The 23,034-nt window shown below is 34.0% G+C and overlaps 1 protein-coding gene across 2 annotated transcripts in view, besides 1 other annotated feature; it reads left to right on the top strand.

Moving 5' to 3' along the window:
* EYS (eyes shut homolog) overlaps positions 1 to 23,034 on the top strand; it is a 1,987,247-nt gene that overhangs the window by 733,331 nt on the left and 1,230,882 nt on the right. The gene's annotated exons all lie outside the window — the stretch shown is intronic.
* Positions 5,022 to 5,191: an enhancer, noted in NCBI's record as "experimental_92499 CRE fragment used in MPRA reporter constructs". NCBI's record gives its function as "activates a minimal promoter by MPRAs in K562 erythroleukemia cells, with activity observed for the introgressed 6:65678683 variant allele {active_cell/tissue: K562}" and the evidence as "EXISTENCE:reporter gene assay evidence [ECO:0000049][PMID:34662402]".

The following is a 23,034-nucleotide window of genomic DNA, read 5'->3' as shown; positions in this document are numbered from 1 at the left end:
CTTATCTATGTTTATCTAAAACAGAAAGGAATTTCACCCTTTTGACTTGGAAATTATAATAAAGCCCATTTTAAAAATGAGAAATAATGCCTGCTTTACGAAAAATGCAGGTAATATTTCCAAAGAATAATTTTCCATTATTTGGTTTCCACAATTATACTGCAGTTTACACTTTGAGTCTTTAAGACTTAGGAAAGACTTAGCACTATCTTCAGTTAATAAATGCTCCATGAATCACTGACTTTATGTGCTCTCAGTTTGTTTTTCTAGATTAGTTTATGCACTCATTCAAAAATAATAAAGTTTCCCAATGCTGTGCTTTAAAATGAATATAGAATGGTAAACAATACACAATCTCTTCCTTTGGGACTCTTAGAGAGAGAGAAAAGTAAACTATTTTCACCACAAAGTGTGATAAAAAAATCACATAACCCGCCAAGCTAAATTATGTGTTATTGTTAGATGTATGTTTTAACACTCCCTTTTCTTCACAGCACAGACTATGATGATTTTATATACACATACATAAGGAAGACATCTATGTCTTACTTATGACGTAAGAGTAATGATGTGATATAGCTTATTGATTATTTGCCCAGTGGCTAGTGCCTAGTACATAGAAGGGTAGTCAGTAAGTATCTGTTAAGTGAATCAACAAGATGTCTTTCCTATAGATTTGTTTTCTGAAAGGCTGAGATTCTCCTAGGTGTATTATTTTGTCAAAGAATATTGGGCAATTTTACTTAATTATGCTCCTATAAAAATAACAGTATTTCTAGTCCTTTCGGTATATAGGGCTATAAATCATATAGTACAAAATAATAGTGAAGTCAGATCCATATTTATTATAAATTATATTTTAAAATGATACCTGATATAGTGGAGATATTGAAAAATTAAAATGCCTACAGATTTTTCTACCTGTGATTCTTCTCAATCACTTATTAATTTAATTTGGATTCATATACATTAGAGGTGAATTGGGAAAGTAGGCTTTTTACTCTAAAGAACATACCTAGAGATAAGACCTATAATGCCTAGTATTAATATTTATTGGTAGGTAACATGTTAAATTGCATTTGAACAATGTGGGTGTTGGGGGCACCAACCCCTGAAATAGTCAAAATCTATGTAAAACTTTTGACTCCTCAAACAATTACTAATAGCCAACTGTTGACTGGAAGACTTACCAGTAATGTAGTCTACTAACACGTTTTCTATATTATATGCATTACTCTATTCTTACAATAAAGTAAGCTAGAGAAAATAATGTTATAAGAAAATCATAAGGAAGAGAAAATATATCTACTATTCATTAAGGAGAATTGAGTCATCTTTAAGGTCCTTATTGTCTTCACATTGAGTAGAGTGAGGAAGAGGAGGGATTGGCTAGAGTGAGGAAGAGGAGGAACAGGAGGGATTGGCTTTGCTGTCTCAGGAGTCGCAGAGGTGGAAGAGGTGGAAGGAGAGGCAGGAGAGAGACACATTCTGTAACTTCATGAAAATACATAGTAACTTTTGTCATAACTGTTTTCTTTTTCATTTCTATAGGAATGTTTCTGTACAGTACCAATCCTTCTCCTGCCATTTGCTTTAGTTTCAGTAGCTGTATTATAGAAGAGTCTATGTCCTAAAAGAAATCAAAACCAACGTTGAGCAATCAGAACTCTTCTGCCAGATTGCCTAATGTCAAAATGTTTTCTGGCAATGCTTTTTCTATGTCTTCTTCCACGTCTTCTTTCTCATCTTCTGGCACTGGTTCATAAGAAATCATCATCAGGTGGTCTTCTGCTAATTTGTTTGGTGTGGTGTGTGTTAGCTCTTGAATTTCTCCAAGATACATTGCTAGAAACGCTTTACCCCCTGACCATGTTTTTTCTTTATTCTTTTTTTTTGCCATATCCACAATCTCTTTCATGATTTCCTGGATTGGCATCATCATAAATCTGGGAAGTTTTGTATAACATTTGGATACAGTTTTCTTCAGCAAGAACTTACTTAATTATGCTTGATGGCTTTCATTACTTTTCTGTAACAACAAAGGCATCTCCAATGTTATAATTCTTCCACAATTTCATGATGTTCTCTCTATCGGGATTCTCTTCCAGCACTGACAATCCTTTCTAGAGAGTACTGTGTGTAATTAACCTTAAATATTCTTATGATCCCCTATGTAGAAGCTGAATTAGACACATTGTGCTTAAGAACAAATAGAGCACTTTGACACCTTCACTGTTGAACTCAAGGGGTTGTCAGTGGCTAGGGGCATGTCCACTATCAAAAGAATTTTTAAAAGTAGTCCCTTACTTGCTAAGTACTTCCTGATTTCAGAAACAAAGCATCAATGGAACCAAGTCAGAAAAAGGTTTCTCATTGTCCAGGCCTTCATGTTTTACAACCAAAAAACTGGAAGCTGTTTATTTTTTTTCCCTTCAAACTTAGTGTGTAGCAGCTTTATAGATAAGAGCAGCCCTGATCATAATAAACCCAAGTGTGTTTGTATAAAACAGTAGAGTTAGCCTATCTCTACCGCCTTAAGTCCCGATGCTCACTTTTCATCCATGCTAATGAATGTCCTTTGTGGCTTTTTTTTTTTCTAGAATAGGACACTTTCATCTGCATTTGTTCAGGCAAATATCATTTTTCCTCAGTGATTTTCTTATTGGCATCTGGGAACTCTGCTGCTGCCTCTTGGGCAGCAGAAGCTGCTTCTCCTGTTATCTTGAAATGTATTAAGCCAAACTCTTCCTAAAATTATCAAGCCATCCTTTGTTGGCATTAAATTTTCCAGCTTGAAATCCTTCACCTTCATTTTGCTCTAAGTTATCATATAATGATTTTGCTTTTTCTTGCATTATATCAGAGTCTATAGTTATGCCTTCCTTAGAGCAATCCTGAATCTCCATAAAAGCTGCATTTTAAATATGAGATTAAAAATAAATATATTTCACAAAAAGAAGTGCAGTTTTCACATCTGCTGATGTAGCTGCAGTGATGGTGTCACAAATTTTCTTTTCTTTATCACAATGGTTCTTAGTCTGAATTCATTTATCTCAAAATGGCAGCAACTGCAGACCTCATTCTATGGTACATATCAAGCAATTTAACTTTTTCTTGTAATGTCATGACTTTTCTCTGCTCTTTGGGAGCACTTGCAGCATCACTAGTGGCACTTCATATGGGTTCAGTGGTGTTATTCAAGGTTTACGTATTGTACTAAACAGGAAGAAAAATCTATAAGAACTTTGAAAAATCACTTTTTACTGTGATGCACAATTTGCTGGAGAGATAACTGCTCACTTGGAGATGATTAGCATCACATGATGTTTTAAGTGGCTACTCATAACACTTGGGATCACTGCAATAGCTACAGGAGGTGGTTATAAAATTATTGCAGTGGCCAGGCACAGTGGTTCACGCCTGTAATTCTAGCACTTTGGGAGGCCAAGGTGAGCAGAGTACCTGAGGTCAAGGATTCCAGACCAGCCTGGCCAACATGACGAAACCCCATCTCTACTAAAAATATAAAAATTAGCCGGGCATAGGAGCCCATGCCTGTAATCCCAGCTACTCGGGATGTATGAGCACTATGTATGATCTGTGTTTGTTTGCTTAGTCTTTGATAAATTTTAACTTTTCACAGTGGATTTGTGTATATTTTATGGTAGTGAATAATACGATAAACTAGTATCTACATACACTTTATGCATTCATTACATTTCTAACTTTTTCACAACTTTTTTTTTTTGTATTTCTAGGCTTGGCAATTCATATTTGAGGTTTTTACATTGTTACAAATCTACCCCAAATTTTCCAACAATACTTATTGAAAAAAATCTGCTTATAAATGTATGTGTCCATTTCAAACCTGTGTTGTTCATGGAACAACTGTATTACATTCTTATTATAGAAATAGCTACTGTATTAAAGCCACAGATTTTATAATCATTGGTATGACAATCTAAAGCAATTTTACATAGTATGAGATTGGAAAGTTTAGGTAACATCTGGGGTCACAGACTGAAGAGTACCAAGGTGAAATTCTACTAGGCCTTTGAGACTTCACATTTGGTACAATTGTTTAGACCTTTTACTGCCTTTGTATGTGTGGAGATAGGCTAGTAACCTCTGTGTGAAGGAAGACTTTGCTTGGAAGGCTTATCATATAATCTTAACATCACTAGCTATGTGGGATTAAATCCTAGGGAGAGCAGTTTCATGTTATTATCTTGGAATGCAGAGATGTCTGCACCATCTTCAAGCAAAAGAAGTGGCTTCTTCTACAGTCCTAGTGGGTTCCAGGGAATTTGGGCTCTACTGTCCTTAGAAGTAAGTCCTGGACCTGGCCCTCATTTTTTACAGATCTGTGGCTGCCAAGAATGGAGTCTAAATGCTTCCAAAGTGACCCCCTAAGTTTCATTCTTTAAAATGGTGATTATTCACCCTTAATCTTTGCCTTTTTCAATGCCTTAATGATACCCAGCAAGAGCCATCTGATTACATTATTGTGATTTCCACTCCCACTGTTCCTCACAAATGTGTGTGATACTGCATTTGCAAAGACATTCTCTGGTATCCTGATCCAGTCCCCAGCTAGTAGCAAGTTTTAACAGTTGCCCTACTACAGCATGCTATGGGCCATTCACACTCCACCTGCAACCACTGACAGAGACTTTTTTCTTTCAGCTGACAATTTAGCTTCAAAGCATCATTTTACAGTCCATGTCCTAGGCCATGCCGGTCTCCAACTCTTTTAAGGGAGATTCCCCAGGAAAAGTTTTAGGAAATGAGATTTTTTTTTTTTTCACGCAAGGAGTTGATTGTGAAATACTCAGAAAACAATGTCTGTGAGAGAGTGAAGGAAAGAGAAATAGACAATTTGAACAGCAATTATAACAGAGATCTTGGGCAATCCCACAGAAAGTGCTTGAGCTGGGGTACCTCATTAGAGATATCTTGAATTGAGGGAAAAGAGCTTGGTCTTTGTACCTTCATATAAAGCAATGATTGGATGTGGTCTGGGGTTGGAAGAAGAGCAAAGCATCTCCTTTCAGGTAAGGACAGGTCCTAGGCAAAGACTCAGCTATGAGTTTTCAACTGCCAACAGTCTGGGAAGCTGGGGCTAAGAGAGCCTCAGCTATGAAGACAGATCTGGGGGCACACCATGGCAACCACAAAAACAGCCAATGGGGCTATTGACTAGTAAAGAAAATAAACATGGAGTAGGCAATCCAGCTTTTGACAAGCAGAATTTTGGAAGCCAAATTGAGGGTCCTAGGTAATGTGATTGTTTTATTTTCTGAAAAAAATAATACTGCTTCGAGCATCTATATAAAGCAATCAGACCCTCTCAGGTAACAATTCAAAAGGAGAAAGAGATTGATTGGAGAAAAGTATTTTTGAGTGAATATACAAAGGTTTTAGATCAGAAAAATTGCAAACATTTTAAAATTTAATTTGTAAATGAAGAAACTCATATAAATATATTTTGAAAGAATAACACATTTATTTGATCAGCAAAATTATTTTTTAAACAAGTTTTGAAAATATAAAATTGCCATAGTTTTCAAGGCAGTGGAAAATTTATAGAACAACTGCATCACTGAGTAATTTTAAACTTCCCATAAAAAAAAATCTTGGGTCAAGTGTTAACAGATGTGTTTTATATACATTTTTTTACTGTTTCTGTAAGTAATAATAAATACCCATATTTATTTTAAAAATCGAAGTTAATTTCCTGTTTAATCAAAGATTATTTCTTGAGAGGACTCTAGTGTTATATATGGCTGTAATCTTGAAGAGAGGGTACAAATTTGTCTTTTATGTTGTATTGTGGGCACTAGTTCATTTCACTTGCCTCTGAAGGCCTCATTCATTTAACTAATCACATTTGTCCAATGTCTTCTTTCTGCTGAGTTCTAGGCTTTGGGACTACAAAGATGAACTGGGCACAGTACTTTTCACATGCCCAAATTCATGTTGAGGGGATAGAGTGGTTATTTTAAAAAATTAACACCATACAACAAATATTATACAAGAAATAAGACTGAATTGTGAAAACCCAAAAGATGGAGCAGCCATTTTTATACATTGCAGAAGGGAGAAAAATCGTTATGAAATTTAGCACCTGCCTTCCTGAATGATAAATGGGAGATTTCCAAGCAAAATACTGGAGTTAATTTTATAGTACAGATTTGTAAAGTAGTGTTAATCCTCAGTGTAGTGGGAGCATATGGTGTACTGAATGGAATGATGTGGGTGATAAGAAAGACAATGGAGGCCGGGCACTGTGGCTCACGCCTGTAATCCCAGCACTTTGGGAGGCCGAGGCAGGTGGATCACCTGAGGTCGGGACTTCGAGACCAGCCTGACCAACATGGCGAAACCCCATCTCTACTAAAAATAAAAAAATTAGCCAGGTGTGGTTGCTCTAATTCCAGTTACTTGGGAGGCTGAGACAGGAGAATCACTTGAACCCAGGAGGCAGAGGTTGAAGTGAGCCAAGATCATGCCACTGCACTCCAGCTTGGGGGACAGAGTGAGACTCTGTCTTAAAAAAAAAAAAAATGGAGTTTTGATCTCAGACTACAGTGAACAGCTTATTCCAAAGTGTAAGTTTAGATTTTGTCCCATGAATGGTAAAAATAAGCAGAGTCTTTCTAAGGAGCTGAGTAACATAGCTGTGTTTAATTTTTAGAAAAGTAATTCTGGCTGCTATGAAGTAGGACTGAGTATGGTTAGAGACAGGCAGATTACATGGAAAATGGATGCCATAATTGAAGCTAAAGATAATATCCCAGTAATAAGGTAGTGGTAGTTGATTAGAAAGAAACTTCAAAGAAAAAATAATTTCATGTAATTAGTAGAATATAATTTAAGAATGCAATGGAATTTAATTTGAAAACCATGGCTTTTTGATGTGCTAACTGGAGGGCTACCTTTGTATATAGAATGCCAGAGAGTAGCCAGATGATCAAAGGGTAGACTTGATGGCCACTAAAGAGATGAGGTTCCAATTCCTGGAACCTGTGGAACTTGTGAAAGTTACTTTATATGGTAATAGGGATTTTGCAGATGCAATTAAATTAAGGATATTGAGGACATTATCCTGGATTATCTGTGTGTGTCCTAAATGTAATCAGGAGTATCCTTATCAGAGGGAAGCAGAAAGAGATTTGAAGATAGAAGAAAAAGGCTATGTGAGGATTGAAGCAACCATGTTACACTGTTGTCTTTACAGATGAAGGAAAAGGTGGGCATAAACCAAGGATGATAAGAAAGCAGTTCTAGAAGCTAGAAAAGGAAATGGAACAGATTTTCCCCTAAAGCCCCTTGAAGGTGGCCATATCTTTTATCCCCAGAGTGACCACCTAACCTGTTTTCGTCCTCACATAAAGAGAAGCAGATATTTGGCTTTATACTCTACATCTCTTGTCAACAGTTATTAATTCTAAGCCATGGTAATTTTAATAGAATATGACATATTTCAATCCTTAAATTAAACCATCAGGACTGCCAAATCATTAACAAGCTTAAACATTTAACAAGTTAAACAATACCCCCCCCAACACCAATTTCTTTCTAGATTTTGACAAAACATACTAACAAACCAATTTAGGCTCTCTTTTCTCATAGCTAAAAATAATCTATCCATTAGCATATAGGACAAATGAATCTTTTTTCTCATATTTTGATACTTATCTATATAAATAATAAAGCAACAACTCAGAAAAACATACATTTAATAACAAATAATTCACTCATAAGAAATCAACTTGTCTTTTCTCCAACTCAAAGGCATGGAGTAACTTTCAGTTAACCAGATTAAATTAAATTCCCTGTACCCTTTATACCCATTTCGCAACCCAGTAAAATGGACAAGCATTTTGAATAGACTTCGAAATACACACACAGGCGCACACACACACACACACACACACACTCACAATTTTCAGCAGCTATTAGGCAACCAAACACTTCTTAAAGTCGCTGCCTTTTAAAAAAGACAGAACTTTCAGTAACAAATTTCAAGCCATAAACTGATTCACAATCTATGTATCTCTAATATATAAAATATATTCTGTTTTCAGTAATAGTTTGTAGGTAGCTGTATCTTAATATATGTATCTAAAATATTTCTGCTCATAAACTATAAAAAAGCAAGCAATCAAGGAGCATATAAAACCAATTGAATGGTCAGTATACTTTGTAATAAATCTGATAACCTCTATAAAATAAATGAAAAAAGTTAGGGATGATGCTATATAAAAAGTATAAAACTCATGGGGGTACTCATGAGTTAGAAAATTTCCCTTTTTGGGTTTTTCTTTTATTTTGTCATTTTGCTTTCCTCATTTATAATGAAGAATGAAAAGTCTGAATGATCTTCATTTATATGATTCTTCAATTAGTGACAAGTTAATCAGCACATTTACAAATATATCAATGCATTTACTTTCCTATATGTAAAAAATAAAATATATATACATTTACATTGTAATAACATATATAATATATTGGACAAAAAGGCCTATAAACAATAGCTATTTTATTATCTTTTTATGATCATTTATGGTCAATACTATGATCTTCCTATATGGACATTATAGTAATTTTCAGACAAGCATTCAAGCAGGAATATTTTGTCAATTCTGTTCGCTAAAGTATTTCAAACTCCTAGGATGCAGATCATTTAATACATATTTAGCAAATACTTATGGTATCCAAAAAAGACTACATGAATTTTCTGTGCTTCAATTTTGCAGTTTTAATATTATGATGATATAATTTAATAGCATTTATTTATTACCCTTGGGCATGAGGGTAAATTGTTTTATATAAAATTAATTTCTTTTTATTTTTTTGAGATGGAGTCTCACTCTGTCATCCAGCAGGAGTGCAATGGTGTGATCTCAGTACACTGCAACCTCCACTTCCCAGGTTCAAGTGATTCTTGTGCCTTAGCCTCCTGAGTGGCTGGGATTACAGGTGTATGCCACCACACCTGGCTAACTTTTGTATTTTTAGTAGAGATGGGGATTTCACCATGTTGACCGGGCTGGTCTTGAACTCCTGACCTCAAGTGATCTGCCTGCCTTGGCCTCCCAATGTCCTGGGATTACAGGTGTGAGCAACTGCACCCAGCCTATATAGAATTCATTTCAATGAACTCAATTTTATTAATGTTATTAATAGAAACTTTCCATACTTTTGCTTTTTAGGCAAAAAGACATATTTTATGTTATTTTGCATCCGCTAAAGAGCAAAGAATATAGCTCATACTTTGATGAATTGCTTGCTGGTGCCGCCACTGTGACAGGAAATTTCCCAAATATTCACCTTAACAAACATAAGATATTTTATCAACAAATATTGACTAAAATTAGAATATACGAATTATCTCAGTGGACAGGAAAGAAAAATGTAATTTAACATATGACATTTTAAATTGACACATTATAGTAATAACATAAAGCTAAAAAGTCTAATAATTAAATAAAATCATTTATAAAAGTTGAAAGATTTTCCTTTAAGGAATAAGGAATGCTGAATATCCATTTAATCATAAAGAATATTGTATGAAAACTTTTGAAGGGAAGGAAGTCAGACAGATGGTAAAAAGTGATTATTTCCAAATTAAAGAGGAAATAAAAATTCCTTCATAATTTACATGAATACATATCGAGAGCCCTATATTAAAATCTCACTAAAATTTGAGCTACTTTTATCTTAAACCCAAATGATATAGATCTTATTTTCAAATAGTGTGAGAAGTGTGTGTTTATTAAAAATATGTAATAGTGATAATCATAAAAGGTAAAATTTGTTGAGAAGTTATAGATGTAAGGTTTTATAAAATCCAGTTGATAACCATTGCTTTCTAATCTCTAACAGGAAATATTAACCCCTATTGCTTAAAAGTAGGTAGTGTATTCATGTGTGTTTTACCTAATAAAAAAGTACAACATAATATATTGTAATTCTATATTATGTATTACAACTTAAAAGAGTTTATTTTCTAAAGAAATATTTTGCTGTTGGTCAGCATTTTATATATGTGCTGTATGTTATTAATTGTTCAGTGAACTTTTGATATACAAAAGACTCCTATTTCACTCATCTGACAAAATGAATAGAAATGTACTTAAGGATTTGGAAATTGACTAAAATCTGTTTGAACATAGATAATATTATTAGTTTCTACTTGGTGTGTCTCTATCACTACGAATAGCTAAAATTGTATGAGTTGCTTCCTTCCTCACTAATTTACCACTTGGTTATCAAAAACAAGCCATAGGCCAAATTATGCTATCGTGCACACATTTATTGCATCAATGAGGTCTCTGTTCTCTATCTTTTGGTGGTCTCAGAAATTGCTTGCATAAAAGTTTCACAGTAGGTCACTGTTGACAATATTCAAGTCGTTGGATTATCTTAACATCTTTCAGAGTCAAAAGAATGGGAAATTCCTGAACGAAGGGAGAGGTAAAGGATAATTAAATTATCAAACCTAGGGTGCCATTCCTATGGCTAATGACTATAGGGCTCACTACATCCTGGTCAAGAAGTAACTAAGAATGGCTGTAAAATATTTACTAAGTCTATATATGTTTAATAATAATTTCGCTAATGAAATCCAATTTGTAAATTAATATTTTGCTATTTGCAAAAGTATTGAGTGTTGGTCAGAGATAAAGATAACTGAAGTATTTGCAGTAACTATCTTTAGAATGTGGGCTTTCTAATCAGAACACTAGCTTACTACACCTAGAGAGAGATTTTCTGCTAAAGAAAGATAAACCATTGTCTGTAGAGTGACACTCAGAATAATACATGCACGCACACATTCATATGCATATCTTTTACCATAAAAGTTCAAAACATTTTAAACTACATAGAAAATATCATTCAAATAGTCCTGAGTACAGTAATACAGAAGCAAGGAGATATGATAATAGGACTAAGGGCACACATTTTTAAGCCTCATCGAGCTAATCAAAATTATAGAAATTTGTGTTCTTGATACAAATGTTTATACCACCTAAATCATTTTTTAATTAAGATATACTTACTCTTCGGTAATCTATTCAGAATTTGGTGCACTTGTTCTATATTTCTCTCTCTCTTTTTTTGAGGGTTGTTGGGGAGGAGACCTGGTCTTATTCTGTTGCCCAGGCTGGAGTACAATGGTGTGATCACAGCTCATTGCAGCCTCAAACTCCTGGGCTCAAGCGTCCCTCAAGCCTCAGCCCCTCAGCCTCATGAGTATCTGGGACTACAGGCATACAGCACCATGACAAGCTTTTTTTTTCTTTTCTTTTTTTTTTGTAAAGATAGGGTGTCTTCCTATGTTGCCCAGACTGGTCTCGGACTGCTGGATCAAGTGATCCTCCCGCCTTGGCCTCCCAAAGGGCTATGATTTCAGGCATGAGCCACCATGCCCCACCTACTTGTTCTGTTTTTGTAACACAATTTAGAGTAAAGAAATAACACAATTTATCTATCTAATACAATTAGATAAAGAGAGAGATAAAGAGATACATAGATAAATTAGATAAACAGTTTATTTTTATTTAACACAACTAGATAAATAAAGTTTAAAATAAAATAAACCTCTGTTTATCAGACCATCTCATTTACTACTAGTGGTGTAGTTTTTGGAAACCCCCTTATGATGGTGTTTATGCTGAAAAGTGAAGAGAAAGAACTAATGGCTAGAAAGCAAGTGTGCTAACCGAGAAATACTGAGAAGAATAGCAACTAGAATAGAAGTGCAGGGTTAGGAGTGATAAAGCTGAAGAAGTAGTGACAAAGAACAGAATATCATAATTTGAGGTTTTGGAGATAGAAAATTTCTTAGGGGAAACGTGAGGAAGTTATGATTATGTTTTTGGTGACTTCACTAGAGTTGAAGAATGAAAACTCTGGATTGAGAATTTTAAAATACTAATGGATCAATAAAATAATTATGATGATAGATAAATTATGAATTTTTAGTATATGAGTATAGAAAAACCGCTTCAGAAATTATCTCCCCCAAATTTCCTATTATTTTTCTAGTTTTATAAATAAAAAGATAGGCTAAGTAAATTGCCTAATAGCATAAGGGCTCAAAACAGAAGCTGAATTGCAACTCAAGTGCACTGAGCATTATAAAGGTGTATTGGTAGGATTGTGAGTTGGGAGAGGATTAATGATGTAATAAAATGAATAGAATACATGAAAATGCCTTATAAATTCCCTCTGGACTTATTCCATTGTACTGATGAAGCATGCATTTTTTGAAAAACATTATTCCTAGCTTATAAATGACTGAGAGGTGAACAGTGTAGCTGTTGAGTATTTTAAAGAGGAAGAGGAATTATACACACACAGATATGCATGTATATACAAATATACAATTTATGTGTATATAAATTGTGTGTGTATATATATATATATATGATATATTGGAAAGGATAACTGATCACTTCATTCCTGTTCACTACAGTTAGATGATCATAATAGGATTTCATTTACTTATATTAAAATTTATTTGAATAATTAATAGTTTACAACAACAGATACATACAACACCACTGACCAAAATGTTCCTTTGGGAAACACGTCTTTAAAGGGCTACATTCCATAATCAAAGTCAATTAGTTCAACCACTGTGGAAGACAGTGTGATGATTCCTCAATGATGTAATGACAGAACCACTATTCAACCCTGCAATCCCATTCCTAGGTATATACCCAAATAAATATCAATTGTTCTATTATAAAGGCACATGCACACATATATTCACTCTGGTACTATTCACAATAGCAAAGACAAGGAATCAACCTAAATGACCATCAGTGATAGACTGGATAAAGAAAATGTGGTACACATACACTATGGTTTATGCAGTCATAATGAAGAAATAAATCATGTCTTTGCAGGGATATGGATGGAGCTGGAGGCCATTATCTTTAGCAAACTAACCCAGGAACAGAAAACCAAATACTGTATGTTCTCATGTGTCAATGGGAGCTAAATGATGAGACCACATGGACACATAGAGGGGAACAACACACATTGGGGACCATCAGAGGGTGGTGGGTGGCAGTAGGGAGTAGGGAGAGGATCAGGAAAAATAACTAATGGGTACTAGGCTTAATACCTGATGATGGAATATTCTGTACAAGAAACCACCATAATACAAGTTTATCTATGGAACAAACCTGCACATATACCCCTGAACTTAATATAAAAGTTAAAAAGAAGGAAAAATATAGAAATGCCAAATGTAAGATGGCACGGATTTATTTTGTGACATCAAAGATTTTGGGAACAGACTCAGAATTGTAGATATAAGTTGAATCACAATTGGCTCTTCTAAAAGTAGAAAATGAAAAGGAAAACCTATAAATAATTTGGAATATATATTGGAAAAAACAAAGTTATACAAAACACTGTATTCAGTGACCTAGGTTCTACATTGTTAAAAAATTATTGACAGCAATTTAAAAAGGTAAAAGGAAAAATCCTTTCAAAATCATTTTTGTCTTAACATTTGAAGACAGTTGCTTAAAATTATCCCTTATTTTACAAGAAAATGATTATATGACATATGACTATAAAGTAACTATTTACATATTCTACATAATCAAAGATTACTTTTATTGTTCATATTAATATTTATAATGAGAAGGTATTAGTAATTTCCTCTCATTATAAATATTTGTTAACAGGATTAAGAAAATATCTGGAAAACTATTTGTAAACTTCAAATCACAAGTCAAACTTAGCCTTAGAGACTCCACTTTTTTTCTATACCTGAAAATTACCATTGATTTTATTCAATTGAAAGGCATTAAGACTAATATCACTTATGTGCTTGGTAAGTAAAACATCAATCATTGTGACTCAGTAATACAAATTTCTCTCTGCAAGTTTTTAAACACACATTTGCCCATGCACTGTGGTAAGTGATTGGCAACAAAGACAAACTTTAACAGTGGTTCTTCTTAAAAAAAAAAAAAAAAAAAAAAAATCCTGAGTCGTGAACTACTTAACTGTGTTTGCAGCTGAAACTTTACAACATAGTTTTGTTACTCAGGGATTAACCAATCACTAGGAACACCTTAGACATCTGGTCAGAATACTTGGCACAATAGAGAGACAGTTCTTGTTAATATCTGGTGCTTTTAGAAACTATAAATAAGGCAATAAAAATATAATCATTTTAGAATTGAAAGAGTAAAAAAAATCACTGAGTTCAAATTTGTTGATTTAAAATTAAGACCAGTTATGACCAATTGGATAAGATGTTCAATAGCCTACATGTCATAGCATCTGGGACCAGAATCAAATACCCTGACATCTGCCTAGGGCATTTTACCCATGTCTCCATTCACATTAAGTCAATATCATGAGTGGTTTAATGTGTGTAGAAAATATTTATGGTATCTGTGGATAGAATGACAACAGAACCTTCATTCCTGAATTCAAAAAATAAAGAATAATGAAGGAAAAGAAAAAAACACTTATGCTTCTGATATCCCTGATTACTCTGAGGAGAGGAGTAATGATTATGTCAATAATAACACATTCTACAATGCAAAACACAGATTGGAGGGCTTGTTTTCATAAATTAATGAGTTTTACAGCAAATTTGCTTCTTGGAATTATTATTGAGGAATTATGGAATTCCAACATGCTGATGATGACAGGGATATTCGAAATTGTAGCTCACATTTTTTCTAAGTATTCTTACATTGTTCTACTCCCTTCTCACCTGCCGCTTACATGGTTACCACAACTACGACTGAGTATTTATATCCCCCATCTTACCCCTACTGGTTTCTAATGCAAAGCAGGTAGTCTATCAGCCAGCAACAAAATCATAATGGCTAACCATAAGACAAAATAGTCCTCTTATCAAGGAACTATAACCTACAGATATACAAGTCATTCAATAATTGTTAAGGTCCTGGGATATGAAGCCAGTTTATATTATTTACACTCCAATGATTGTGTGTCTAACTGTAATGTTTCCAGAATTCCTCTTACCAATTGCCAAGAAATTATTATGTTTATGAAATATAAAATGTAAAGAAACACCACAGTTTGATTACAGTATGTATATTTGCTGAAGATTGTTTCTTTTTTTTTTTTTTTTTTTTTTTTTTTTTGAGACGGAGTCTCGTTTTGTCGCCCAGGCTGGAGTGCTGTGGCGCGATCTCCGCTCACTGCAAGCTCCGCCTTCCGGGTTCACACCATCCTCCTGCCTCAGCCTCCCGAGTAGCTGGGACTACAGGCGCCCGCCACTGCGCCCGGCTAATTTTTTGTATTTTTAGTAGAGACGGGGTTTCACCGTGGTCTCGATCTCCTGACCTCGTGATCCACCCGCCTCGGCCTCCCAAAGTGCTGGGATTACAGGCGTGAGCCACCGCGCCCGGCCTGAAGATTGTTTCTTAATCTCTGTGAAAGTGAGGTTTAGATTCAGATGACATTAAATTTGTTTGTTTTGTTTTGTTTAGTTTTTGAGATGGAGTCTCACTCTGTCACCCAGGCTGGAGTGCAGTGGCGCGATTTTCGCTCACTGCAACCGCTGCCTCCCGGACTCAGGCGACTCTCATGTCTCAGCCTCCCGAACAACTAGGATTAGAGGCCTGAGCCACCGCACCCAGCCAAAATTTGATGTTATATACATATACACACAACATATGGTATATACGTATGTTATTATATATACTAGGTATATTTATAATTATATGTAATACATTGTGTATGTATAATTATACAAATATATTTTATGTGTGATATATATACAGAATTACATAAAAATGCTTTCAGTTCAAACTTAAAACCATTTTACAGAAAAAAATCCTAATAAATGTAAAATATTAGAAGTTTTACAGAACATAAAACTGTCAAATAGGCTAAAATACAGTTGAACGTTTCTTTATATTATCTCATATTGGTCATTTTATTTTATTTTACCAGGTGATTAAATGAACTATTTAAGTAGGTATTGAAAATATTTAAAAACAATAAGCAAATACCATATTATTTGTTTGGTATTTGTCTCTGTTTTGCTGTGAAAAAGCCTAGACGATTTTTCCACTTTTACAGGCACTAATTTTTTTTGATGAAGGAGGTTGCATTTATTTTTATTTTTATATTTGCGGGTACATAATAGGTGTATATATTTATGGTATGCATGAGATGTTTTGATACAGGCATGCAATGTGAAATAATCAAATCATGGAGAATGAGGTCTTCATCCCTTCAAGCATTCATCTGTTGTGTTACAAATTACACAACAAATTACAATCAAATTACACTATTTTAGTTATTTCAAAATGTACAATTAAGTTGTTATTGACTATAGGCACCCTGTTGTGCCATCAAATAGTAGATCTTATTCGTTCTCCCTAATTTTTTTTTTTTATCCATTAACCATTCCCACATCTCCCAAACCATCCACTACCCTTCCCAGCCTCTGGTAACCATCCTTCTACTCTCTGTGTCCATGAATTCAATTGCTTTGATTTATAGGTCTCACAACTAAGTGAGAACATGCAATATTTGATTTGTCTTTCTGTGCCTGGCTTATTTCACTTCATAATAATCTCCAGTTCCATCCATGTTGTTGCAAATGACAGGATCTCATTCTTCTCAATGGCTCAATAGTACGCCATTGTGCATGTGTACTGCATTTTTTTAATCCATTTATCTTTTGATGGACACTTAGGTTGCTTGCAAGTCTTGGCTATTGTGAACAATGCTGCAACAAACATGGAAGTGAAGATATCTCTTTGATATACTGATTTTCATTTGGGGGGTGTATACCCAGCAGTGGGATTGCTGGATCATTTGATAGCTCTATTTTTAGTTTTTTGAGGAACCTCAAATTGTTTTCCATAGTGACTGTACTGATTTACATTCACATCAACAGTATAAGTGGATTCCCTTTTCTCCACATCTTCACCGGCATTTGTTGTTGCGTCTTTTGGATATATTAACTGGGGTCAGATGATTTCTCATTGTTTGATGTGCATTTCTCTGATAATCAGTGATGTTAAGCACCTTTTCATATGCCTGTTTGCCATTTGTGTGTCTTCTTTTGATAAATGTCTGTTGAAATTTTTTGCCCATTTATTGATCAGATTATTAGAGTTTTTTTCCTATAAAATTGTTTGAGATCCTTATATATTCTGGTTATTAGTCCCTTGTCAGATTGGTAATTTACAAAAATTTTCCTCTCATTCTGTGGATTGTCTCTTTACTTTGTTGATTGTTTCCCTTGCTGTGCAGGAGCTTTTTAACTTGATGTGATGTCATTTGTCCATTTTTGCTTTGGTTGCCTGTGCTTGTGGTTATTGCTCAAGAAATATTTGACCAATGTCCTGGAGATTTTCCCCAGTTTTCTGTGGTAGTTACATAGTCTGAGGTCTTAGATTTAATTATCTAATCCATTTTGATTTGACTTTTGTACATGATGAGAGATAGGCATCCAGTTTCATTCTTTTGTCTATGGATATCCAGCTTTCCCAGCACCATTTATTGAACAAACTGTCTTTTCTCCAGTGCATGTTCTTGACACCTTTACCAAAAATGAGTTCACTGTAGGTGTGTGGATTTGTTTTTGGGTTCTCTAATCTGTTCCATTGGTCTGTATCTGTTTTTATGCCAGCAACATGCTGTTTGGTTACTATAGCACTGTAGTATAATTTGAAGTCAAGTAATGTAATTATTTCCATTTCATTCTTTTTGCTTAGGATAGCTTTGGCTATCCTGGGTCTTTTGTGGTTTCATATACATTTTGGAATTTTTTTTTTCTATTTCTGTGAAGGATGTCATTGATATTTTGATAGAGATTACACTGAATGTGTAGACTGCTTTGCATAGTATTGCAGTTTCTCTATTCCTTAATTTAGTGAGGTCTGAGTTCTTGTCAGAGGACAAAGAAGAATAAGGCATGTGGACACCAGAGAGTGAGTAAGGCAGAGCAGAATTTGTAAAGCAATAGAAAAATTATTAGCAGTGAGAGGGGACCCAAAGCGAGTTGCCAGAAATGGTTCTGAGTGCTGGGGATATTTTTTCTGTGGGGAAAAATAAGAAAGCCTTTCGTAGGTTCTGCCTTAATAGGAGGAGTAAAGTTCCCCCGCTCCCCCGGGGACGTTGCATCTATGCATATCTGGAGTAGACCATAGTGACTCCATCGTAGTTATTACCCAAGAATGCCTAAGCAAAACCCATGGGATAGGGAGCCAAAACTGCAATGCCGATGATATTACAATTAGCTCTGGGTCATATTCAGGACATTTAGTTGATTTATTGTGCTTGCACAATAAATCCCTTCTGAGCAAACATCCTGGTATAAGAGGAAGTTCTTAACCATATTTTTTCCTGCTAACTACACCACAAGGGTGGTGCCAGTGTGTTTCCATGCGCACTGCCTCTCTCCCAAGACTCTCCCTCTCTGTGTGTGTAGCCAGCCTCTAACTATGTCCTCTCCCAATAGTATGGATGTTTTAACAATATCGATTCTTCTAATCCATGAATATGGAATTTTTTTTTCATTTTTTTGATGTCCTCTTCAATTTCCTTCATCAGTGTCGTATATTTTCATTATTGTGATCTTTCCTTTCTCTGGTTAATTCCTAGGTATTTAATTTCATTTTTGGCTATTGTAAATGGAATTAAGATTTTTTTTTTGTTGGTTGTTTGTTTTTTGAGACAGAGTCTCACTCTGTCACCTAGGCTGGACTGGAGTGCAGTGACACAATTACTGCTCACTGCTGCCTCCGCCTCCCAGGTTCAAGTGTTTCTCCTGCCTCAGCATCCTGAGTAGCTGGGACTACAGGTGCCTGCCACCATGCCCGGCTAATTTTTTGTTTTGTATTGTATTTTTGGTAGAGAAATGGTTTCACCATATTGGCCAGGCTAGTCTTGAACTCCTGATCTCAGGTGATCTACCTGCCTCAGCCTTCCAAAGTTCTGGGATTACAGGTGTGAGCCACCATGCCTAGCCTATGTTTTTGATTTGTTTTTCAGTTTGTTCACTTTTGGCATATAGAAATACTACTGATTTTTGTATGTACTGATTTTTGGTTCTTATGAAGGTGTTTTCAGTGTATATAGTTGTTAATTTGGTGCCCTTGCCAGGGGTGGGGGAAAAATTGACGAAGCTTTCTATTCCACCATCTTGCTCTGCCTCAGTTGCTAATTTTCTTTGAGGTCATAATACTGGAAATGAGTTTTGTACTTGTGGTTCAAAACTTACAAGTGATTTTTAGTCCATGGTGTACTTGCATTATTATTGTCATTTGGCTCTCAGACCAAAACATGTAATGCTCCCCAAAACTATATGTTGCAGAATTACATTTATATACTGTCATCTTTATGTGATCATCTCATACAAGATTATATTTTCTATATTCTTATTATTTGTGTACTAGGGAAAAAGCTTTGGGTATTAGACTATATCTCTAATTGTCAAATTGAGTCAATAAGGAAGATAATATTCAAAACATAATAAATATGTTTGAGCAGTACACATCAATGACAGATGAGTTATTTTTTCCCATGGTTTATTACAGTTAGTCTAAACTTCTTTATTCTAGTTTTAAATTCTTTTTTTTTTTAAACCGACATTAAAGGTAAAGGAACCCTTAAAAAGGATCACAAATGGTTTATGAAGGTAGGGCATGCCGTAAGAGAACTAAATTATAAGTAAAGATTACTAATAAAAACTATAAATTGAAAATAGCATAGTAGACAAACAGCTGAAGTTATTTTGATAGTAGATTTACTAGATATAGGAAATAAAACCAGTGGAAATTTATACTTAATGTTTGTTTTCTCATTTGGAATATTAGGCACTAAAATGACCATTTGCTTTTTTTTTTGTTACTAATGAAAAGTATAATCACATGGGAACAATGACTAAGTTTCTTAGAGGTTTATGTTTTCTTTAGAAAATGTTTTCAAAATCCAGTATAGCTTGATTTATACTCTATATTATCTTCCTCTACCATGTGACTTTTCATATTCTTCATGTATTTGTATTACATTTTCCCAAGTAAAAGAAATTGTGTTTTTCTACAAGTTTTGCCTTGAAAGTATCACTCATTGTAAAGTGTATTTTCTTTGCCTTATTTCAAAATATGTTCAATCAAATTCAGTGTTTGTAACTTTTTATAGAAATTGTTTCTAAATATTCCATTTACTTTCTGTCAGAATAATACATATTATTTTACTTTAGATTTAAAGCACCAAGATAAATCATTTTCTCTTGCTGAAAGAAATCATATTAAGATAGTTCTGTTTGTTTTTATAAATAAAGATTAGTGTTTTTATGTATAATCCTGAGTATCAGCATTCAGTATTTGGAAACCTTTGTGTCTATAGCCAACTCTATAAGTATTTATGAATTAAAGTGAAAACTTAAAATAACATTTAAATAAAAGAGATAATAAGTCAATAGGGAGAGCCCTTTATTTTTACAAGGATTAAATTCATTACAAATTTTACTTCAAAAGTTTTTTTATTAAAGCAAAGAAAAATATTTGTCCTTCTTTCAAGAGTTACATAAATAATGATCAGAAAGAGACTATAATTTGAAATTTCTATTTTTTTCAGTATATATCTACATTTTCAGTAATCTAATAGAAAGTTTCACAAAGCACACATGTTAGTAAAAAATTGTGGCTAAGACTGAATAAAATACAATAATTCTAATGTATAAAAACTTTTCAAAATGGAAGCAATCCAAGTTTTCTTTCAATGGGGATTTTAATCCTTCATTTATAGAACTGCTTTTGGTTGATTGTAATGAAATAATTATTTAAATGAATTCTTTTAAAAAAGTCTTTTTCTTGTTAGGAAAATAAGATTATTAAATATCTAGAAATGATAAATAAAATATCCTCCATGACTATATTAGTACCAATGAATATCATTATAGATGTTCCAATCTCTAGCACCTATTCAGTCAAACATTAGACACTATTCCAGATGTTATTATTGATGATAATTGTTGAACAAAGTAAAGAAAGTTTCTGCCCTCTTGGAATTTATACTTTAGAAACTAGAGAAATACGCAATAATATAATTAAGATATTTTTAAATACAATAAGCACTAAGCAGAATACAGCTTATATGTACATAAGTAACTAACATGCTTTAAATGTATCATAAAATCTAAAACAGTAAGTAAGAGAAGGTATGCTGAAGGAAATTATCAAAGCTTCAGGTACTATGTGGCACTTGTTTTGACATTTGCAGGTGGATAAAACTTGGAAAGTATGGTCAGGGATTGGTGGAAGTAGACAAAGTCATTCCAAGTGGAAGAAAGTAAAGGAAACAAACATCACAGAGACTGAGAAGTAGTTTAGCTTACCTGGACAAGTCACAGTATATGAGAACATTTTAGTTAAAATTTATGGTTGTCTTACTATGTTAGATATTACACTACGTCCTATACTCAGTGCTGTACTTCTTATACCCTCGTTGGGCAGGTAGCATTATTTCTGATGTGCCTTGAAATTAAGTAACATGCTTAAAATTATATAAGTCATAATTCTTAGAGCCTGAATTTAAATCCAGGTCATCTGTCAACAAATTCCCACAATCTTAAACATTGCAGTAAGTTCTCAGGTTTTGTTTTTGTAAAAAGTGAGTTTGTTCTGCTTTCATAATTGAAGTGTATTTTTACTGGGTATAGAAGTTTAAATTGGCAGTTATTTTCTTTCACTCCATTATGATGTTGGCTCACTGGGTTCTTGCTTCTGATACTGGGGAGTAAGTTGTGATCTTTGTGTCCCTTTGAAGATAATATGTCTTTGTTCATTGGCTGCCTGTATGATTTACTCCTTGTCTTTCATTTTCAGAAGTTTTAATCTAGATAAAGTTTTATTTTTATGTATCCAGCATAGGTCTCAAGAACTTTCTAAATCTGTGGTCACTCTCTTTTTGCCATCTTTTGAAAATTCTCAGGCAGCAATTTTTCAAATATTGTTCTTGCCCAATTTCTCTACCTTCGTTTTTGATATTCCAATTAAACAAATAATGGCTATTTTCATTAGTTCCCATATTTCGTTTTCTTTTATGACTGTTATATCCTTTATATAAATATTTCAATCTGTATATCTTTTACTAGCAAGTTTATTAATTCTGTCTAATAAGTCTATTATTAAAATAATATATTAAGTCATTAAATTTCAGGTTATAATTTTCAAACTCAGAGTTTTTCTTTGTCTCTTTTATAGATTTCAGTTTTCTAGTGGAATTCCCTATTTGTCTTCTATATTTTTATATGTATTCATCATAAGTATTTTTAAATCTCTATCCAATAATCACAGTATCTCAATAGTATATTTCTACTGTCAGTTTGTCTCTTGACATTTGGTAATCAGCATTTAAGAAACTTTTTTATTGAATGGCAGACATTTGTTTCAAACTTTGAAAAGCTCCATCTAATGTTAACATCTTCCAAAGAGGATTTTTTATTTTTATTTTTCTGGCAGACAGAATAGGAATGCATGATCACATTTTAGGCAAGTATGGTTTTCATGCCGTTAAAGCTGTTTTTGTTTTTGTTTTTTTGCTGGTTTTTCTTCAAGATATGCCCCTCTGTTGTGTTCATTGAAAGCTAGAAGTGTTTAACAAGACTGTAAGATATTGCTGGCCCTAAACTCCAACTTTTATCTTCCTTGCACTACTAGACTGCTAATGCTTTACTTCTGTGTAATTTCATACTATAAATACAAGGTTGAAAGGGAACAAGTGCCTCTATAGAATAGGGCTGATCAAATTGTGGGCTCACTTCTCTGTTCTTCTCTTCACGGACCTAATCTCCTTGACCAAGCTGAATGCTAGTGTTTTCTTTTCATTCAAAGAAGCTGCTGCAAACTCCAGCTACTACTTTCTGCTTATCTAGATGCAACTACTTATCTGGAAGCAAATGGGCAGATGTCCTGGTTTGAAAAGCAGAGCCCTCTGTAGTCTTAACTTTGCTTGCTTCTTATCTCTTTAGCTTTAGAAGATCTAGTCAAC

This window comes from Homo sapiens, chromosome 6 (assembly GCF_000001405.40).
Source record: "Homo sapiens chromosome 6, GRCh38.p14 Primary Assembly".
Taxonomy (NCBI): domain Eukaryota; kingdom Metazoa; phylum Chordata; class Mammalia; order Primates; family Hominidae; genus Homo; species Homo sapiens.
Note: the sequence above shows the minus strand (reverse complement) of the source record. Positions and strands in the feature narration are given on the sequence as shown.